The sequence below is a fragment of the Homo sapiens genome, chromosome 15 (genome assembly GCF_000001405.40).
Source record: "Homo sapiens chromosome 15, GRCh38.p14 Primary Assembly".
Taxonomy (NCBI): domain Eukaryota; kingdom Metazoa; phylum Chordata; class Mammalia; order Primates; family Hominidae; genus Homo; species Homo sapiens.
In genome coordinates, this window is record NC_000015.10 from 98,253,466 (window position 1) to 98,272,000 (window position 18,535).

At 41.4% G+C, this 18,535-nt stretch overlaps 1 annotated feature.

The window, feature by feature from the left end:
* Positions 3,551–4,404: an enhancer, noted in NCBI's record as "OCT4-NANOG hESC enhancer chr15:98800245-98801098 (GRCh37/hg19 assembly coordinates)". NCBI's record gives its function as "activates a minimal SCP1, AML or CMV promoter by ChIP-STARR-seq in primed H9 embryonic stem cells {active_cell/tissue: H9 hESC(primed)}" and the evidence as "EXISTENCE:reporter gene assay evidence [ECO:0000049][PMID:30033119]".

Here is an 18,535-nt window from a genome sequence, read left to right on the forward strand (position 1 = left end):
AGGCTGTCTTTCATAAATTAATAAGCATCACCGACCGCCTTTCTTGACCCTTTAAACTCTGTGAAATTAATATAAGTAGACAACTAAGGCCCGCTTGGCCCCCCTAGAGCCTTGCAAGTTCACTTAAGCAATCCAAGTTTCCTTAAAGTTTTATAAGCCAGCTTTCAGAGCAAGTCCTTTGTACTTATTACTGGTGACAGTGAGCATTACAGGAGCCAATGAACCTTACTGACTTACGACCCCAATATGGTCGAGCACTGTTATCAGGGGAAATATCAGAATCAATGCTTGTATATTACATTGAGGTCCTGACTTCTGAAAGAGTCCCCTATAGACCCTTCAGAATATGTCAGTGAAATAAACAGCTAATACTCCAAGACAGTCTACTGACAATGGCCAGACGGTGCTGTTTATTTAACCACTTTTCAACCATCCTAACCCTTCCAAAGAATACGTTTCCAAAAGAGAGAAAAAGGAAACAAAATGTTTCATGTTCCCGATTCTTTTGCAATGGAACCACATTTATGCCTTTTTTTTCCTTACACACACACACACATATATATATATGATACTTTAAGTTCTAGGGTACATGTGCACAATGTGCAGGTTTGTTACATATGCATACATGTGCCATGTTGGTGTGCTGCACCCATTAACTCATCATTTACATTAGGTATATCTCCTAATGCTATCCCTCCCCACTCCCTCCACCCCACAACAGGCCCTGGTGTGTGATGTTCCCCTTCCTGTGTCCAAGTGTTCTCATTGTTCAATTCCCACCTACGAGTGAGAACATGCAGTGTTTGGTTTTTTGTCCTTTTGATAGTTTGCTGAGAATGATGGTTTCCAGCTTCATCCATGTCCCTACAAAGGACATGAACTCATCATTATGCCCACTTTTTGAAGTAACAGCATGTGTGGTTTTGCTGTGGGGAGCAGGGAACACCGTGCCATCTTCCTCCATGATTAATGGGCTTGCATTATTAAACAGCTACTGGTGGAAGGGGCCACAGGTACAACACCTTTTCTACTGAGGCACCCAACGTGTGAACTTTCATTTGCAGCCAACATTTGCTGGAGGAAGGCTGAGCTCACCACCACATTTTACTTACTGAAATTAATCATGTCACCACTTCAATAGTAACCTCTATTACATATCTAATTACCAACCCTGTGCACGGACTTTTTATGTAACTTTTAAAAATTTCTATTTCAGTCATGCTTAGATTTTTTAATACTTAAATGCTCTACCAGGCAAAGGACGATAATCTGTAACTATTGTGGTTATCAGAGTATACATTTTTATGGGTTTTTCCCCACAATAGGTAGTCAAAGAACTAAGAAATTTTACTGGAATATCAAAAATAAATATGTAAGATCCTTTATATATGAAGCATACACTTTCCAGGTGATAGATGGATAGACTTGAAGACTTCTGCAGTCCTCTAACACTGGGATCCTCTCTCCTATTATTTTTTTATATTATATTCCCTATGATCACTATGCATTGAGCCATTCAAACATTTCCATCTGGTAGAGTGCCAGTTTCTGAGGATTGGCAGGCAGAATGCACGAACACCACTTGTAACCTTCAGGCCCTTGGCGTTGTACTCAAACAATCTGAGTAAACCTCCCCAGAACCCCAGAATTCACTCCAAAAGTCAGAATTGCCAAGGGGTACTCAGCAGAGGATCAAAAGGTCTAGCCTCCCCTCTGTGATTCCAATAATCTTATTTTTGGCAAAAAAAAAAGTAATTCATATCAATTTAACTTTTTATTGGGCAGCAGGCATTATTTAATACTTCTCAAAGGAACTTTTTACAGCAAATTCAATGACTGACTTGCCTTAGGCATTTTCTAAAGAAACAATGCCCTTTGGACAGCAATGATCACACCTGGGAGTGGGCTGTGGGCTGAGCCCATAGATAGAATGGATTTCTGTGGACAGTGCTGTAAAGTCCAGGGATCCCGCTCAAAGAGCCCAGAATGTGAGAACAGAGGAAAGTGAATCCTGGACAGCCCGAGGCCATTCATGCTCAAGGCTCAAAATGTTCAAAATCCAGGCAAAGCAGGTAGAGAGAAGAGAGGAAGACCAAGAGCAAAAGAGAGGGTCCTACATCACCTCCAAAGGCAAGACTCAAAGGCACAGAAATTCTTCTTATTGATAGCCAAATTTGAGGGCAAAGGAGTAGATTGGATGAAAGCAGAGAATCAGCCCAGAGAAACCAGAATTATCTTCACTATATCACGTATCTACTAAGAGCAGCCTTTTCACTACCAAAAGTTCTCTCCAGGAAGAAAGGGACTTAACACATTATCACAAAGACAACCTTACCTCTACAAAGAAGGCACAGTGTCACAAAGGATGGCCAAGGGCCTTCTAAATCACAACACAGGTGAGCTTTAGACTCCCCAAGACACTAACCATAAATCCTGGCTGTTCATTAAGAGGACCTGGGGGACTTTTGAAAAGTACTAGGGCCAAGGACCCCATCTCAGGCCAAGTGAAGCAGAGTCTCGGGGGCTCTGGTGCAAGCACTGGCATTTTTTAAGTCTTCCAGGAGATTCTAATGTACAACCAAGGCTGAGAACCACTGGTCCAACCAAATCTTGATTTAAAGGGAAAAGAAGCAAAAGAGATTGCAAGTCATTTTCATTAAGATCACAATTAGCACACCAACCTTGCTGCCACCCCAGTGCCAGCCTGGCACATGCCTAAAACCTTTTGACTCCACTGTCATCCAGCCCTCCTGTTTTTCATCAGAGAAACAAAGTGCATTTGTGAAATCAAATCCATTCTGAACACCCACAATTAATGTGCACTTCAGCACAACCCTCCTGAGAATGGGTACTAAAATGACTTGAACCAAGTCACTTCTTTATTCTTTAAAGTGTCCTCAAAGGTTTTCAACACCTCCCTACACCACCACTCCACAAAATACAAACCAAAATCAAAGAGACTTGAGCCCCTTTTATTCATAGAGGGAGTTATTTCCCCCAGCCCTCATCTATAGTTTTTCAGTTCAGCTTATTAGATGCTGTTTCTCATCTGTACTCTGCCTTCTCTCTGATTGAAAAATTCCTACTTGTCTTTTAACAACAGTAAACAATAGCCAGGACCCTGATGCTAGATCACACTCTGGTAGATAATTCATTGTGCACAGCTCTGCGTTCAGCACTTTGTTTGTGGACATTTAAAGCTCACAATGACCCTACGGCACTACTATGCTCATTTATAGGTGTGGGCATGGCTCCAGGCCCTAGAGCTAGGAGATGGCAGAGCAAGAGTCCAGATTGGACTCTTTATCCTGATACTAAATGCCCTTTGAAGACTCAAACGTCACTGCCTTTATAAAGCCCAGGCTTTCTCCTTTTGACAGCCAAGGGAGGAATCATTTATTCCTGCAGTATTCTCACCTCCTCCTTGCTACATCTCAAATGGCATTATAATATAATTTATTTAAACATATGTATTTGCCACAAGATTATGAACCACATGGATAGACACTCACTTTTATTCATCTTTGCTTATCCCAAAGCCAACACGAGGTACAGCGCATAATAGGGTCTCAATATCTGCCAGGTGAATGAATGAATGGCCAAAAATTCACTCCTAAGAAAGAGTGCCTTCACTGTTAAAACCTAAGCAGTCTATTTATCACAGAAGCCCAGTACTCACACTTACATTTTTTTCCTTTCCCACCCCCATTTCGATAAAATAAAGAATAATGGTTTTTTCACACAATCCCCGACACACACTTGCACTTTTTTTCCGCTTCAAAATGACAGTGGATGTTTGCAAAAGCCCCTGGAGTCTAGAAGGACATCAATCACTTTCACAGCTGGAGTCGTAACACTTTCCTTAGAGGAAATTTTATGCAGCAAGCAGAATAAGCTTCATCCTCAGCAGGACAAGACAAAAGGTAGGTAAAAGGAAAGGCTGGCAGCCACCACCAGGCTTTTGTGCCACTAACTGGGGGTGGGGTGGGGTACATCAATTGGAACTTATTCTTCACCCCAAGGCTTGCCTGTTTGCCTTCCATTTCCCTTCTGAATTTGAGGAGGAGTAAGTACAGCACCATGAAACCAGCTCATAACAAAACAAGCACTTACCTCCATTGCTACTCAAAACAAGGACACCACAGGAGAGTTCTCCAGGGATCTTTGTCCTTCCTTCTTAGGGCCCAAAATACTCGAGTTCAGCTGTCAAAATAGAAAGAAAAGGAAATCAGGAGTGTAGACTTCTGTTTCCAAATGACTTAGCATTTAACAGTCATGCTTCAAATGTTCCTTTAAATGAGGAAAGATTGACCAAGCAGGAGAGTCCATTGGGAAAAGTTTGGACAAACTATCATTTTCAAGCAATGAAATCATCATTACTATCTGAGAGCCATTTACTTCTAGACAAAATCTTGTCAACTCCCAAAATTACAGACTAGAGACAATGGATTCACCAGCCTCCTTGAGCAGAGGCAGAATCAATTAATATGAGCCAAGCACTTTCTCAGCTTAGTACCCTGGTTGGCTGTTGGTCACAGGCGCATTCCACAGATGATAAAATCACTCACAAACCTGTCAGAAGTCACATTCACATAGTCAAGAATGGGGCCTTTAGGCCGGAGGCGGTGGCTCATGCCTGTAATCCCAGCACTTTGAGAGGCTGAGGCAGGCGGATCACTTGAGGTCAGGGGTTCAAGACCAGCCTTGGCAACATGGTGAAACCCCGTCTCTACTAAAAACACAAAAAATAGCTGGGTGTGGTTGTGGGTGCCTGTAATCCCAGCTACTCAAGAGGCTGAGGCAGGAGAATCGCTTGAATCTGGGAGACAGAGGTTGCAGTGAGCTAAGATATGAGATCCTGCCACTGCACTTCAGCCTGGGCAACAGAGTAAGACTTCATCTCAAAAAAAAAAAAAACAGGAATGGGGCCTTTGTGATGCAATAGGTCTTGATTCCAATTCCAGCCCTCATTTTCTAGCCGAGTCTTAATTTCTGCATGTAGACATCTCATACATGGCTCATAGGGAAAGAATTGACTGGATCTGGAACACCTATTTCATTATACGACTGAATAAAAGCTTTAATTACCTTATTGAAAAAAGGCCATTAAATTTAAATGTAATCATGAAAATTTTATACCCGTTGGTTTTATCCAATGCATCTTGAAAATGTTGGTAATTCACATAAAGTTTCTGTTACATTTAGAAGACCTTCACTATTTTATCCAAAGTCTGCCCTTCTGAATTTAAAACATCCCAACAAAGGCAAAAATATCCTCTTTCTAATACCCTCAACAGAAATGTGCATAAAACAGGAGAAACTTGAGAGCACTGTGGGTTACAATAACCTGATTATTTTAATTTACACTTTTATTTAACACCATGGGGGTTTATACACTACTCGGGAGGCTGAGCAGGAGAATTGCATCCAAGTAACACATCCAAGTGAGATTTGGAAGGGCTGAGACATATGCCTTGGAAAGTGAAGGGCTATTAAGGATATTGACTCCTTCACAGGCAGAATCATTTTAGGAAAGCTGGAAGTGGAAGACTTGGAAATGGATTCTTAAAACTCTCGATATATGTGAACTTCCTAGACAACCACATCTACCAGGGGTATGTGCATACACATTTATAGACATCAAGTGTCTTTAGAGTTTTTGTATTTGCCATTCAATCTGCCTAGACTAGGTTTGCACCACTTATCTACTTAGAAAATTTGTACTCGTCTTTGGGGACACAGTGCAAATATTCCTTAGTCGCATACCACTACCATGGTCATGGAGGCTGGAGAAATAGCAGGTCCTGTGTTATGTGAAGAAAAAATAATAGTCAATTATGCCTCCAAGACTCCTCCCCTAACAAATGGATTAATGGTGGTACTATTTCTTGCTATGGGGAAGACTAGAAGGGGAGCAAATTTAAAGGACAAGATCAAGAGCTTAATTTGAAACAGATTAAGACTGAAATACCCATAGACTCTCAAATGGAGAATTTGAGTGGACTGTTGGCTATTCTAGTAAGGGAGTCTGTACTCCACACTAGTAAGGTCAAGTTTGAAAATATGAATTTAAAAGTCACTGCATGTAGAAAGTATTTAAACCAGAGACTGCGTAAAATCACCAATAAAGAAACTGTACAGTAGAAAAAGATGAGAACCAGGAACTGCTCCTGGGAAATTCCTACCTGATTAAAGAAAAAGGATATCAATATGAGCGACATATTCAGACAGGTGAAGCATTCAGTAAACAAAATATATCAAATTTCTCTGGTCTGGAGATACATTTTTTATTCTTTAAATTTGTATTCTTTATTCATTTTTATTCTTTTTTTAACACTTTCTTCCTGAATTACAATTAACAGTGGTTTTTGCAACGTGTTTTGCAGAGAAAAGGAAAAATGCTTTCATTCCAGTAAGTAAACATCATTTTTCTAAATTATTGCTACAGTTTAGCCACAAAAGCATCTTTCTTTATGCAAATATGCTAAATTCATAGACAGGAATAGGCAGTTGTATGATTTTCTAGTGCCACCTGTGAATACTCATTATCAAACCACTACTTTGCCTACAACTGTATTCCCTCTCGTATTCCCCAAAAACAACATAAAATAGCCTTCCATGGAATTTTAATTATACTACCTCCTTTTTATAGTTTGGTATTAAGACCTGTTTGTGCACTTCACTGTGATCAGAAAAACATTATCAAAGAAAATTTTCTTCAGTTTTCTTCTCGTACATAGAGATTTCATAGACTCCATGATTGATTAATAATGTCTCCCCAGCAGCAATGTTCCCTTAAGTCAGTAACAGATTCCAGCTTGCTTCCTAAGATCAGGAAAATTCATGGAGTCTGGAAAGGCCTTAGGATTTGGCTGCAAAAGACTAAGGTCTTCTGCAGATGGCACTTCATCTTACAGCTGGAAAAGAAAAACTTATAAGTCCTCCAATGATTAATTCATAGTGAAGAATCTATTCTTGTCCTCCCTTTTCAGATTTACGTTTTGGAGATTGAATGAAAATTATCCTGACTTGAGTTCCCACCACATATCTACCCCTACAAATTAAACAACATTATCTGAAGGCTTGTGAGTATCTCTATGCTGAAACAAGCATAACCTGTTAGTTTGCCAACCTCTCCCTTCTGCTGAATGGCTAACACCAGGCCTGAAAGCAGACACACAGTAACTAAGGGTTATGTGTAAAGACTCGTGATGAAAACTTGAAAATAGTCATTGTCTGTCAGTTGGAAAGTGACTGACTAAATTTGATATAAATTTGAGTATCATGAAGTAATTAAAATTATTTAGATCCCCTAGCACCCAGATTATGGTCTCTAAATACCATTTCCCATTAAAAAAACAAACCAGGGTTTCTAATTCCAAGTCTGGAGCAGGAAATGGACAAGATAAACCTATAATATTTTGTGTGAGAAAATAAAAAATACTCAAACACTGATAGGATTGAAAAGACACAGAAGCTAGCTTGAAGAATCTCCCACTGGCCAGAGAAGGTATAATTTTAGCATAAGAATGACTGCAATGGATTTAATCCTATTAAATATATTTCTATGAGTTAATAGTTACATGATTTTTTTAAAAAAACTCATAGTTCATCTTCAGAGGATGTTGGGTCACTAACTCCTTGTTTTGAAAAATGTGAAATAAAAGAGAAGAATCAACATTTATCCAGCCTTTCCTTGTAAGCTCTACCTCAAGACAATCCAATAGTTGTTGAATGGAAGTATCTATTTACAGAAGCATTTGAGCTGCTAAAAAAATGTAATGATAAAATTAGAATAACATCATGTTGCAACTCCTGGTGAACTAATGGGTCTAGACAACCATCATCAACAGGCTGTTAAAATCACAAAAAGAGAGACAATCAGACATCATATGCCCCCTAATGGAAATATACAATACCACTGACTAAATAATTTTGAGAAAAAAAAAAGAATATGAATCAGACCAAGCTTCTAGAGCCATCAATTTACAAAAAATTGGATTCATTAGAATATGTTATCCCAGCATGGTGGCTCATACCTATAATCATAGCTACTCAGAAGGCTGAGGCAGGAGAATGACTTGAGGCCAGGAGTTCAAGACCAGCCTGAGCAATGTAGCAAGGCCCCTTCTCTTAAAAAAATGTTTTTATGCAGTGGCTCACACCTGTAATCCCCGCACTTTGGGAGGCCAAAGCAGGCAGATCACGAGGTCAGGAGTTTGAGACCAGTCTGACCAACATGGTGAAACCCCATCTCTACTAACAATACAAAAATTAGTTGGGTATAGTGGCACATGCCTGTAATCCCAGCTACTCAGGCTGCTGAGGCAGGAGAACCGCTTGAACCTAGGAGGCGGAGGTTGCAGTGAGCCAAGATCGCACCACTGCACTCCAGCCTGGGTGACAGAGCGAGACTCCATCTCAAAAAAAAAAAGTTTTTAATCTAAAAATAAAAACAGAACATACCAACTGACACTATAAGAATGTAATCCACAAATCTACATTAGGAAATTATATGGCAATGCTACTCATAGTGTGATCCATTGACCAATGCAGTCCACAAACTGCTTACTACTGGCCCACAATGAGGTAAGTATAGAAACTGAGATTAATAAGCACACAAATTACAAACATTTGCAAACATGGATAGCAATGTAACATTGTAATCTGATATTCAAGCCTCTGGTCAGTGCACTCATCTCACTGAACAGAGTATGAGCCTGTTTAGGCCAACCCAACTCATGTCTAACTCCTGAGATGAGTCAGGTGTGCTGTGAAACATTTATTAATTTAAAGGAATAGGACCATGTTACAATGTGTATTAGTTTAAGTGCAATTTGTCAACTGTAACCCAAAATTATATAAAATCTAGAATCTATTTTTTCATCAAAAGATAATTTAAAGTCATAAAACATAACAATTATTGCCAGGGTATAGGGATGAGTGTGGGAATAGGGAGTGATAACTTATGGATGCTACGAGGAAACTTTTGTGTGTGGTAGATATGGTCATTATGTTGATTGTGGGGATAATCTCACAAGTATGTACATATGACAAACTCATCAAATTATATTCTTTCAATATGTGCAGTTTATTGTACATAAAATATAGTCAAGAAACTTAAAGCAAAAACAAAAATGGGGCAGTTTTTATGTGCTTCTGCTTAGGATATAGAAATCAGCAAAGAATGTCACTCCCTCATTAACAGAAAAACCTGAATAATCTATTAAAAATATAGATTTTCATGAACCCATCATAAACCTTTGGTCACTAGGCAACTAAGTGAACCATTTTCCATGAGTGACAGTCCTTCCAAGGAGATATTAGACATATGGACTGTTCACATTTGGCAGAGCCTGGGAGGATGTGGTGGTCACCATATAAGCCTGTAAGAAAAAATCAGATAAATTTTAATGAACTCTTAAAGCCCAAGTGTGGGCTAGCATGTCGGTGTGGAGTCGCTGGGGACTCCAGACATAAGGGAAGTCTGCAGTTGCTCACGAGCTCTTCTCCAAAGGCCTCCACTAGCCTCTCATGAGAAAGACTGGGGATTGGGCAGTAGTTTGAGAAAAGGCTCCTGTGGTGACACAGGCATGCAAGCATCAGGAGGTGACCTATGGAAGCAAAAAGTCATACACAGAACTTCGCTTTCATTCCCGTCCCCTTTCCTCCTATGAATCAAAAACCTTAAGCCACAGGAAGGACATTATGTCTTTTCATCCACAAGGGCATGGACAAAGATCCATAGTTTCTTAGAGAGAAGTGAAAGAAAAAGGTGACTTCCTTTGAGGAAGGGGCCAAAAACACTTTTCCAGGGCACAGGCAAAGATCTCTTGCTGCTGTGAAAGAGACAGAATCAAAACTCTCTACCTCTGAAAGGGAAAATAAGCAGTCTTGGGGAAGGGATCTTACACTAATACAAAGCATAGGTTTGTGAAGTTCTCTGTTCGTAGTTTTATTTTGTTTTTAGCACTGGAAGAGCATTATTATCATTTCCATTTCAAAACCAATTACAAATACAAGAGGTGGTATGCTGGTAAATATTTAACTAGCAGTTCTCCAGGAGAAAAAGCCCAGATTTGCAGTGTTGGCCAATTTCCATGGTGTAAATATTCCAATATTCCTACTATGGCCTGTTTGAAGCTACCACATGGCTTCACCAAATATGAAGTTGGAAAGAGAGGCTTATAACTGGCTCTCATGAGCCTATATGCGACAGCTCTAGCACATAATTGAATACAAAACAGAGTTTAACAGACCTCCTTCTACCCTCCCACCATGCTTCTGGCATGCAGAGATAGCTGATAGAAAATGTAGAAGGAAAACTAATAAAAACTCTTCAACATTTGAGCCCCAACTCTAAACACAAGGTAAAAGCAGCCTACTGCTACAAAAATGTGAACACTTAGATGCACTGATGGTACCAACAATAACAACAAAACCCAAACCCAGATCAACTTCTAATTGGATTAGCTCAACCCCTCACACTAACAGCCTGGCAGAAAAAGTATAACCATTTCCGGGCATAAATACTTTTACCTCGAGTCTAATGTTCTATACAAAATGTCCAGCATTCAATCAAAAATTTCAAGACAAATAAGTAAGGAAAATCTAATAATTTTCAAAAGGCAAAGCAATCAATAGGCCAGATGTTAGAACTACTGAACAAGGAGTTTAAAGTAACTATGACTAATATTTTAATAGATTTGTTAGAAAAGGAAGACAACATATATAAATAGGTGGAGATTTTTAAACTATGAGAAAGTCAAAAGACAATGCCAGAAATAAAATCACATAATAGCAGAGATAAAGAATTCCTTCAGTGGGCTTGTCAATAGGCTGGACACAGCTGAGGACGTAGTCTTGAAAATAGATCAGTAAAAATTATCCAAACTGAATCATAAAGAGAAAAATAAAAAAGACTAAAAAAACTCATTACTCCTAAGAGCTGTGGGACAATATTAAGATATCTAACATTCATGAAATTAGAGTTCCAAAAAGATTAGATAGAGGAAACACATCAGAAGAAATATTCAAAGTGATAATAGCTAAGTGTTTTCGAATAATAATGTAAGAGATCAATTACAGATCGAAGAATCTCAGAGAACCACAAGCAGGATAAAAATAAAACTCCCTCTCTCACACACACAAATACACACCCCTAGATATATTATGATCAAACTGCCAAAAAGCAAAAATTAATAGAAAATTTTAAAGGCAGTCAGAGGCTAGAGGAAAAAAATAAACATTAAGTACAGAGTAAAAGAGAAAACAGAGATATGAATTGTGGCAGAATTCTCAACAGAAATCACGAGTGATATTTTTAAAGTACTGAAAATATCATCCCAGAGGTCAATAATAAATGGAAATATCTTACTTTTTATGTGACTATTTTAGATGTGTATTTGTATACTTACGTTTACAAAACCTAGACAATTCCTTACATAGAAACTCATAACCTGTTTTTCAATGTTTTCTGAGAGATGTTGAATATCAGTGACGATGTCTTTACTGTTTGTTCCCTTTAGCTTCTCAGAATAATCACTGTGTTGACACCAACCAGGAGCTGCTGGCCATTGGTAAGACCCTGGCCATGGGCTTCCTGGGGACTGGGCCTGCCCCTCCGTGTCTCCTGCATTGAAGGAGGACCCTGATGGTCGTGATGAACTGGGAGGGGCAGAGTGGCCCCAGCTGGGCTCTTTTGAAATATTAGCAAGGACTCATTCCCAGATCTTCACACTTTTCAGTTTAGTTCCTAGGAAGAGGGAGCTGACATCTGTTGTCTGTTCTGCCTACCACTTATTGAGCATCTGCTGTCTTCCCGACCCTGAGGTCTGTAGCCTTGGTCTATACCAAGGAACACATGGAAGGTCCCACCTCAGGGAAGGAGCTCCCAGGGCCAGGGGTCAGAGAGCTAAAGGCTGTGACCCGGGCAATCTCAGGGAGAGTTTACTGATTGTGCTTGTGCCCTACCCTGTGCCCCATCCAGGCAGGGACAGGTGGATTCGTGAAGACTCAAGAGCCCCAAGTTGCCCGACTGTGGATGGGGGTCCATGCCAGGTTTCACAGTTCAGTTTCCTCTTGCTATGTCTCTGTGAGCTGACTTCTCTAGTGATGTATTTTGAGACCACAGCATGAATCTTAAATTCAGTTATCGTGACTGTTTTTGGCATATCATAGGTCCCAGGCCTGCCTGCCTTTCCTTCTCGCCCCTTGTGAGATGGGTATAGGCTAACCCGGGCAACACTGTGGGGTTCTTCCCAAGGGGTGTCCACCTGGACAATTTCATGAAAGCCACTTGGCTTCTAGACAGCAAGGCGTGTGACCCAGGTCAGGTCACAAAGGTACGTTGCCAGAGCTCCTCTCTGAGCAGTGGAGAACTGGACATTTCCCAGTTGAGCAGTGGAGCTTGGGCTTCCTAGGCCTCACTCACCCTCAGGCCGAGAAAATCCACGGCCTCCTCCAGCCCTCACCAGTAAATCTTCCAAATGTGATTTCCCGGAGCATCTCATTCCCATTACTTCAAAAATAGCACAGAACTGTTCTGATGGCACAGTGAGTTCCAGGGATACAACCCAGACAGAGCGAAAATCAACGTTACTAAGGCAGCTACAGAATTCCTTGATCTCAGATAGGCCAGGCAGTCTTCAGCAGCTGCACAGCAAGAGGCTGACATGAGCCCACGAAGGCCAAGCATGGAGGGGTCGTCCCAGTCAGCAGCAGTTCACAGAGTTGAGTCCCAGATCCAAGCTGTTGCAGAGTGAGGGTGATCACGTGCAGCGTGCGGTCACCGCAGGTCTCTGCTGAGCCCTCCCACGTCTGCATTTCCTTGCCCCAGCCCCTCTCTCACAAGGCTGTGAGCTGGGCTGCATGACCCAGGATGGCCTGGTACTGAGTTGGCCCCATTCCAAGCCGTCTTGAGAGCAGGCCCTGCACCCGTGGGTCTTAAGACCCCACTGCCAGTCTTAGATAGCAGACGAAACTCTGGTTTTTGTGACGGCCCGGGTGAGACGGATGCTGGCAGGATCTTGTGGTCAACCTGAGCAGTAATATCAGTTCTTGGGCCCCAACAATGCTATGGGTGTAGGCAGCCAGCGTCACCTGGGAAGACAGCTTACCAGTCATGACCTCTGGCCTCATCTTGGCTGTCATCTGTGAGAAGGAGTGGTGGGTTTGAAAGGAAGTGGGTGGAAAACTGTGAGTGGCCACTGACCACCCGAGCACGTTGTGTTTGTCTTACAGGCACTTCCTTCTCAGCCATCACCCGTTCCTGGGAAGTGAGATGCTCCCCTCTGTTATGCGTGAGGAAGATGTGTCCTTTTCGTCTTTGTCCTGACTAGAAGTCTGCCTGTCCTGACCCCACATCCCGTCCTCAGCTGTGAACTGTCCATGTGAACTGTCTGAGGGCTGACCTTCCCTCAGAAGATCAGCCACAGCAGCATGGACTGATGTCATCCTGCTGTCCTCCAGGGTGTCCTCTGGTTTCTTTGCACTCATAGTCAGGACTGCAGTTTAATACTCAAAAGTTCACTGGGCGCAGTGGTTCACACCTGTAATCCCAGCACTTTGGGAGGCCGAGGCGGGAGGATCACTTGAGGTCAGGAGTTCAAGACCAAACTGACCAACATGGTGAAACCCTGTCTCTACTAAAAATACAAAAAAAAAATTAGCCGGACATGGTGGCACGAGCCTGTAATTCCAGCTACTCAGGAGGCTGAGGCAGGAGAATTGCTTGAACCCAGGAGGCACAGGTTGCAGTGAGCCGAGATTGCAAAGAGATCTGGGTGACAGAGCAAGACACCATCTAAAAAAAAAAAAAAGTTCCACTGGGCATGGTGGTATACGCCTGTTATCCCATTTACCCAGGAGGCAGAGGCAGGAGGATCACTTGAGCCCAGGAGTTTGAGGCTGCAGTGAGTTGTGATTGCACCACTGCACCCCAGCCTGGGCAACAGAGCAAGACCCTGTCTGAAAAAAAAAAAATGCTAGAAAGTTCCCAGCACATTGAAGCCTTCCTAGCTTTTGGTACCAGAGTTGATTCCTAAAAGGACGTGGGGACAGGAAGGACTGTGGCTCTCCCCTGAAGAAGTCCAGCATGAGGTTTAGCCCAGACCCCCAACCCCACTACCCCGTGGCCTTCCTAAGTCAGGACAACAGGATGGGGGTGATCTGTGGCTTAAGGGAGAGAAGGGGACGTCACCTGGCAGTGCCTGGTCCCCCAGCTGCTGACCACCACCCTGCTGGTTATGGGGCCTCCACCTGGATGGGGGAAGGAAACAAAGCCAGCTAGCATCTGAAAGGACTTGTGCTTCCTGACTTTTCTTACAGTCAGAGTGCCCTGAGTGCAGCTCAGTGACTGCACCCTAAATCTCTTTGCCTCAACCCCCGGGCCTCAGCCCCCTTGTCCCCTTCCCCCTGCTTCCTAAGGCATGCTGGGAGCTGACCTTCCCTCAGAAGATCGGCCACAGCAGCATGGACTGATGTCTCTCCCTTCCCAGTCCCTGGCGACTAACCATCTCTGTGCTGCCTTCCAGGACAGCTGTGAATGCTCAGTTGGGGGTGTTGCACCCCAGGAGGGGGGCTGGTGATGGGTAAGCCCCCCTGGTCTTCCCCTTGTGCCCACTGCCGAGAGTGGGAAAGAGGGAGGAGGGAGCCCACAGAGATGTTCCTACTTAGCAGGACGCCAAGTCTGCTTTGGCTCACAGGCCGTGTTCCCCAGGGTTGCACAGAGGCTGGGATGGCCATGGGAGACCGAGCAGGGACTGGGGGCCTTGGCTCTCATTACCCTACCCCACCACTGTCCCAGATGGGGCTCCTCTGAGCAGGAGACTATGCTGCTTGCTAGGGGGGCCCTACACCCCACGAGGTCACCCCATGTGCCCGCGCCCCCACAAGAGCGCTGGTGCTGCTATCGCTGGACTGCCTGACGTCACTCTTCTACTACATCCCCAACTCCGACCTGGCTGCAGTCATCCTCAACATTGCTGGAGTGCAATGACATGATCTTGGCTCACTGCAAGCTCCACCTCCCAGGTTCAAGCTATTTTCCTACCCCAGCCTCCCGAGTAGCTGGGATTACAGGTGCATGCCACCACACCCAGCTAATTTTTTTGTATTTTTAGTAGAGACGGGGTTTCACCATGTTGGCCAGGCTGGTCTCGAACTCCTGACCTCAGGTGATCCACCTGCCTCGGCCTTCCAAAATGCTGGGATTACCGGAATGAGCCACTGCACTCGGTCAGAAAAATATAGCTTTTATAAGTAATTTAAGTTTTATAATTTCCAGTGCTATTTATTTCTGTATGTAAATACAAGTTTTTATGTGATATCATATTTCTTTTGCTTGAAGAACTTCCTTTAATATTTTGTGCAGTGCATATCTCCTGTAAATTAATCATCAGCTTTTGTGTATATGACAAAGTTTTTATATTGTGTACATTTAAGAAAGATATTTCTGCTCTTGTCCCTCCCCAAGCTGGACCGGGCAGAGCAGCGGCTGGAGGTGGGTGGCAGGGAGGGCAGGGATGGGGGTAGGGGAATCAGAAGGGGGACCACCCCATGCTATGGTCCGCTCAGGACCCCATGTGTCAGGACGAGGAGCTCAAGCTCTTCCTGGCAGCCCTGGCCCACGGAGCAGCGGGGCCATCTTGGAGCCATCTCCAAGTCATCCACTCCTCCGTCTCAAAAAATAAAAGCTATTTTTCCTTATTTTTAATTTCTTTAAAAGCCAATTAACTGGTTAAAGCAAAAATAGTAACAATTTATTGTGGGGCTTATACATAAAAGAAATTGCATGGCAAAAATAGCTCAAAGGGAGAAACTGAAAATACACTGTTGAAAGGTTCTTATGTTATACAAAAAGTAGTGTAATATAATTTGAGCTGGATTATAATAATTTAAAGGTGTATATTATAAAGTCTAGGAAGACCTAGGCTTTTAATTTTCAATTTTGTAAAATTGAAAACCAATTTTACAAGAATTTAAAAGATGTTTGATAATACTGTCTCCACCAATAGTGTAGACAAAAAGAAATCATAGAATGTGCTCAGTTATTCCCAGTGAAGGCAGGAAAGATAGATTTGGTATGATATGGTAGATTTAAAGCTAACCATATCAATAATTATATTAAATGTAAATGCTTAAATATCTCAATTAAAAGGCAGAGATTTTAAGATTGGATAAAAGATCATGTAAATCAAGCTATACTTTAAGGATAAACTGTTGGAACTGGCTACTGATAATGGATTGAAGATGAATTTTGAAAACACAGTTTGACTTGTTCCATTTTGGATAAAAGCTCAAAATGAGTGTCCCAGGTTTGCTGAAATTGCTTTAGAATCTCCTCTTCCATTCCCATCAACATGCTTCTGCTTTCTCTATGCATCATTCAAACAAAGTAGGAAGGAGTTCACATGCACATTTTTCTATACAGGTAATGTTTTCATCAATTCAACCTAGATTAGCCACATTTACAAACAAGAAGCAAGTTCTCTGCTACATAAAAACATTTAATAATAATATAGATCATGTTTCTATGTACCCAAAGTATGTATATGTGTTTAACATAAGAAGTTGCTATTTTATTCATTAATTTTGTTTGGTTACAAATGTGTAAGGACAAAAGTTGTGAGTGTAATTTGAATTTTCTATATTAACATCTATATACACACTTTAAATGAGCGATGCATACAATTTGTGTAATTATTTTCTTTTATTTATTTGAAATGTAATTTTATGTCTGTTGAATTTAACATTAAGAAATCGGGAGTGGTATTGCCTACGTCTTTTTATTTAATTTTCAAGTAATTAATTCTTAAGTATGACCCCAGTATTGGTCTGTGATTGATTAAATTAAAAAAGATAAAACTAGTCCTTGACTATACATATGAGAAGCTGCTCCACAAAACACATAACTCAGTTTCTCCAAAAAAAAATAGCAAAGAAAAACAAAAAGAGATTCTGTTTTGGTAGAGAAAGCCTATAAATGGAAAAGGACTTAAAACATAACAAATTGAAATACATGGTGCTTATCTGGAACCTGATTTAAACCAAAAATACTAAAATAAAATTATGAGACAATGAAGGAAATGAGAACACTAGCTATTTGATGACGTTAAAGAACTTTTCTTAAGCTGTTAAGTGTGATAAAGTTATTATAAATATATTTTAGAAAGTCCTTATACTTTAGAGATATATGCCAAAATTTACATGAAATGATATACTGTCTGAGATTGGCGTCAAAATAATCACTGGGAGGGGGGAAGAGAAATAACAAGTGCTGGCGAAGGAAAATTGACCATGAGTACTCATTGTTGAAAGCTGAATGATGGATACGTAAAGATTTATTATACTGTTCTGTATGTTTGAAGTTTTTCTCCATAAAAAGTTTACAGAAATTAGGTGTATACCAGTTGGCCGGAAGAGATTCCAGTTGGTACTGCAGTGGGTGATGAGCAAACAGGAGGAATGTGCAGGCAACACACACCCACCAGGCCTTCCGGAATGGTGCCTACTAGAGACTCTTGCGGAGAGACAGAATAGCAGGAGGGAGGCAGGAGCACTCTGGGACAGCACCCAGGACTCTGAGAGAGGAGGCCCTGCCCTTGGGCCTTAGAGACGTGAAACTGAGTGAAGGTTGACGTTTCCTCATCCCTAGAAAAGCACAAAGGGACCCTGGGCTTCAGCCACGTCCTTCCATTTCAGCAGCTGTGTTAGGAAAGTAACTACCCAACCCTTGATATTTTTAAAAAATCAAATATAAAAATAAATTTTAAAAAGATGAATTGACTAACCTTTTCTCATTATAGAAAAGGGAGAGACACTTTGCCATGGGTAGTAAAGTATGATTAAGTGTAAAGCATTAGAGACAGAGAGGCCTGAATTTGGGTCTGCCACTGTGTTAAATTGAGCAAGTTATTTTTACCTTTTACCTCTTTTCCTGATTTGTGAACTGTATATAGTTGGGAGAATTGTTGTGAGGATAAGATGACATGATGTGTGTAAAGTCTTTAGCACATATTAAATGCTCAGAAGAAAATAGCCAGTAAATGGTACTTGATATGCTGTTATCATTAGCAATTATAGGAGCATGAGTTCATTTAAAAAAGCGGAACTGGCATTGACTGGATGGAATAAGTGCTATTGTTAGGAACAATATTAATATCATATATTCAATTGAAAAATATTGCTCTGTGGTCAGCGCCGTGTGTAAAACAACACACTTCGTTTCCCTCACACTTCCCTGACTCATCTCTGGCTTAGCATGTGTGAGTGAGATGACACTCACCGCACCTCCACCAGAGAAGAGAAGACCTTTTCTCCACAACGTTTATCAGAGCAAGACTAGATGGGATAAAGTGATCTGGTCTTCTGGGAAAGTGAACGGAATATATTTCATAAATAAATAGCAACTTTTGGTTTTCTTATTAAAATCAAAATATTCATTTTTGAAGTTTGATGAAATATCCAAGTATACCCCTTAACATATTCTTACACATCCAAAGAAAAAGTGAAAAGAGCGATCCCCTAAATCTTT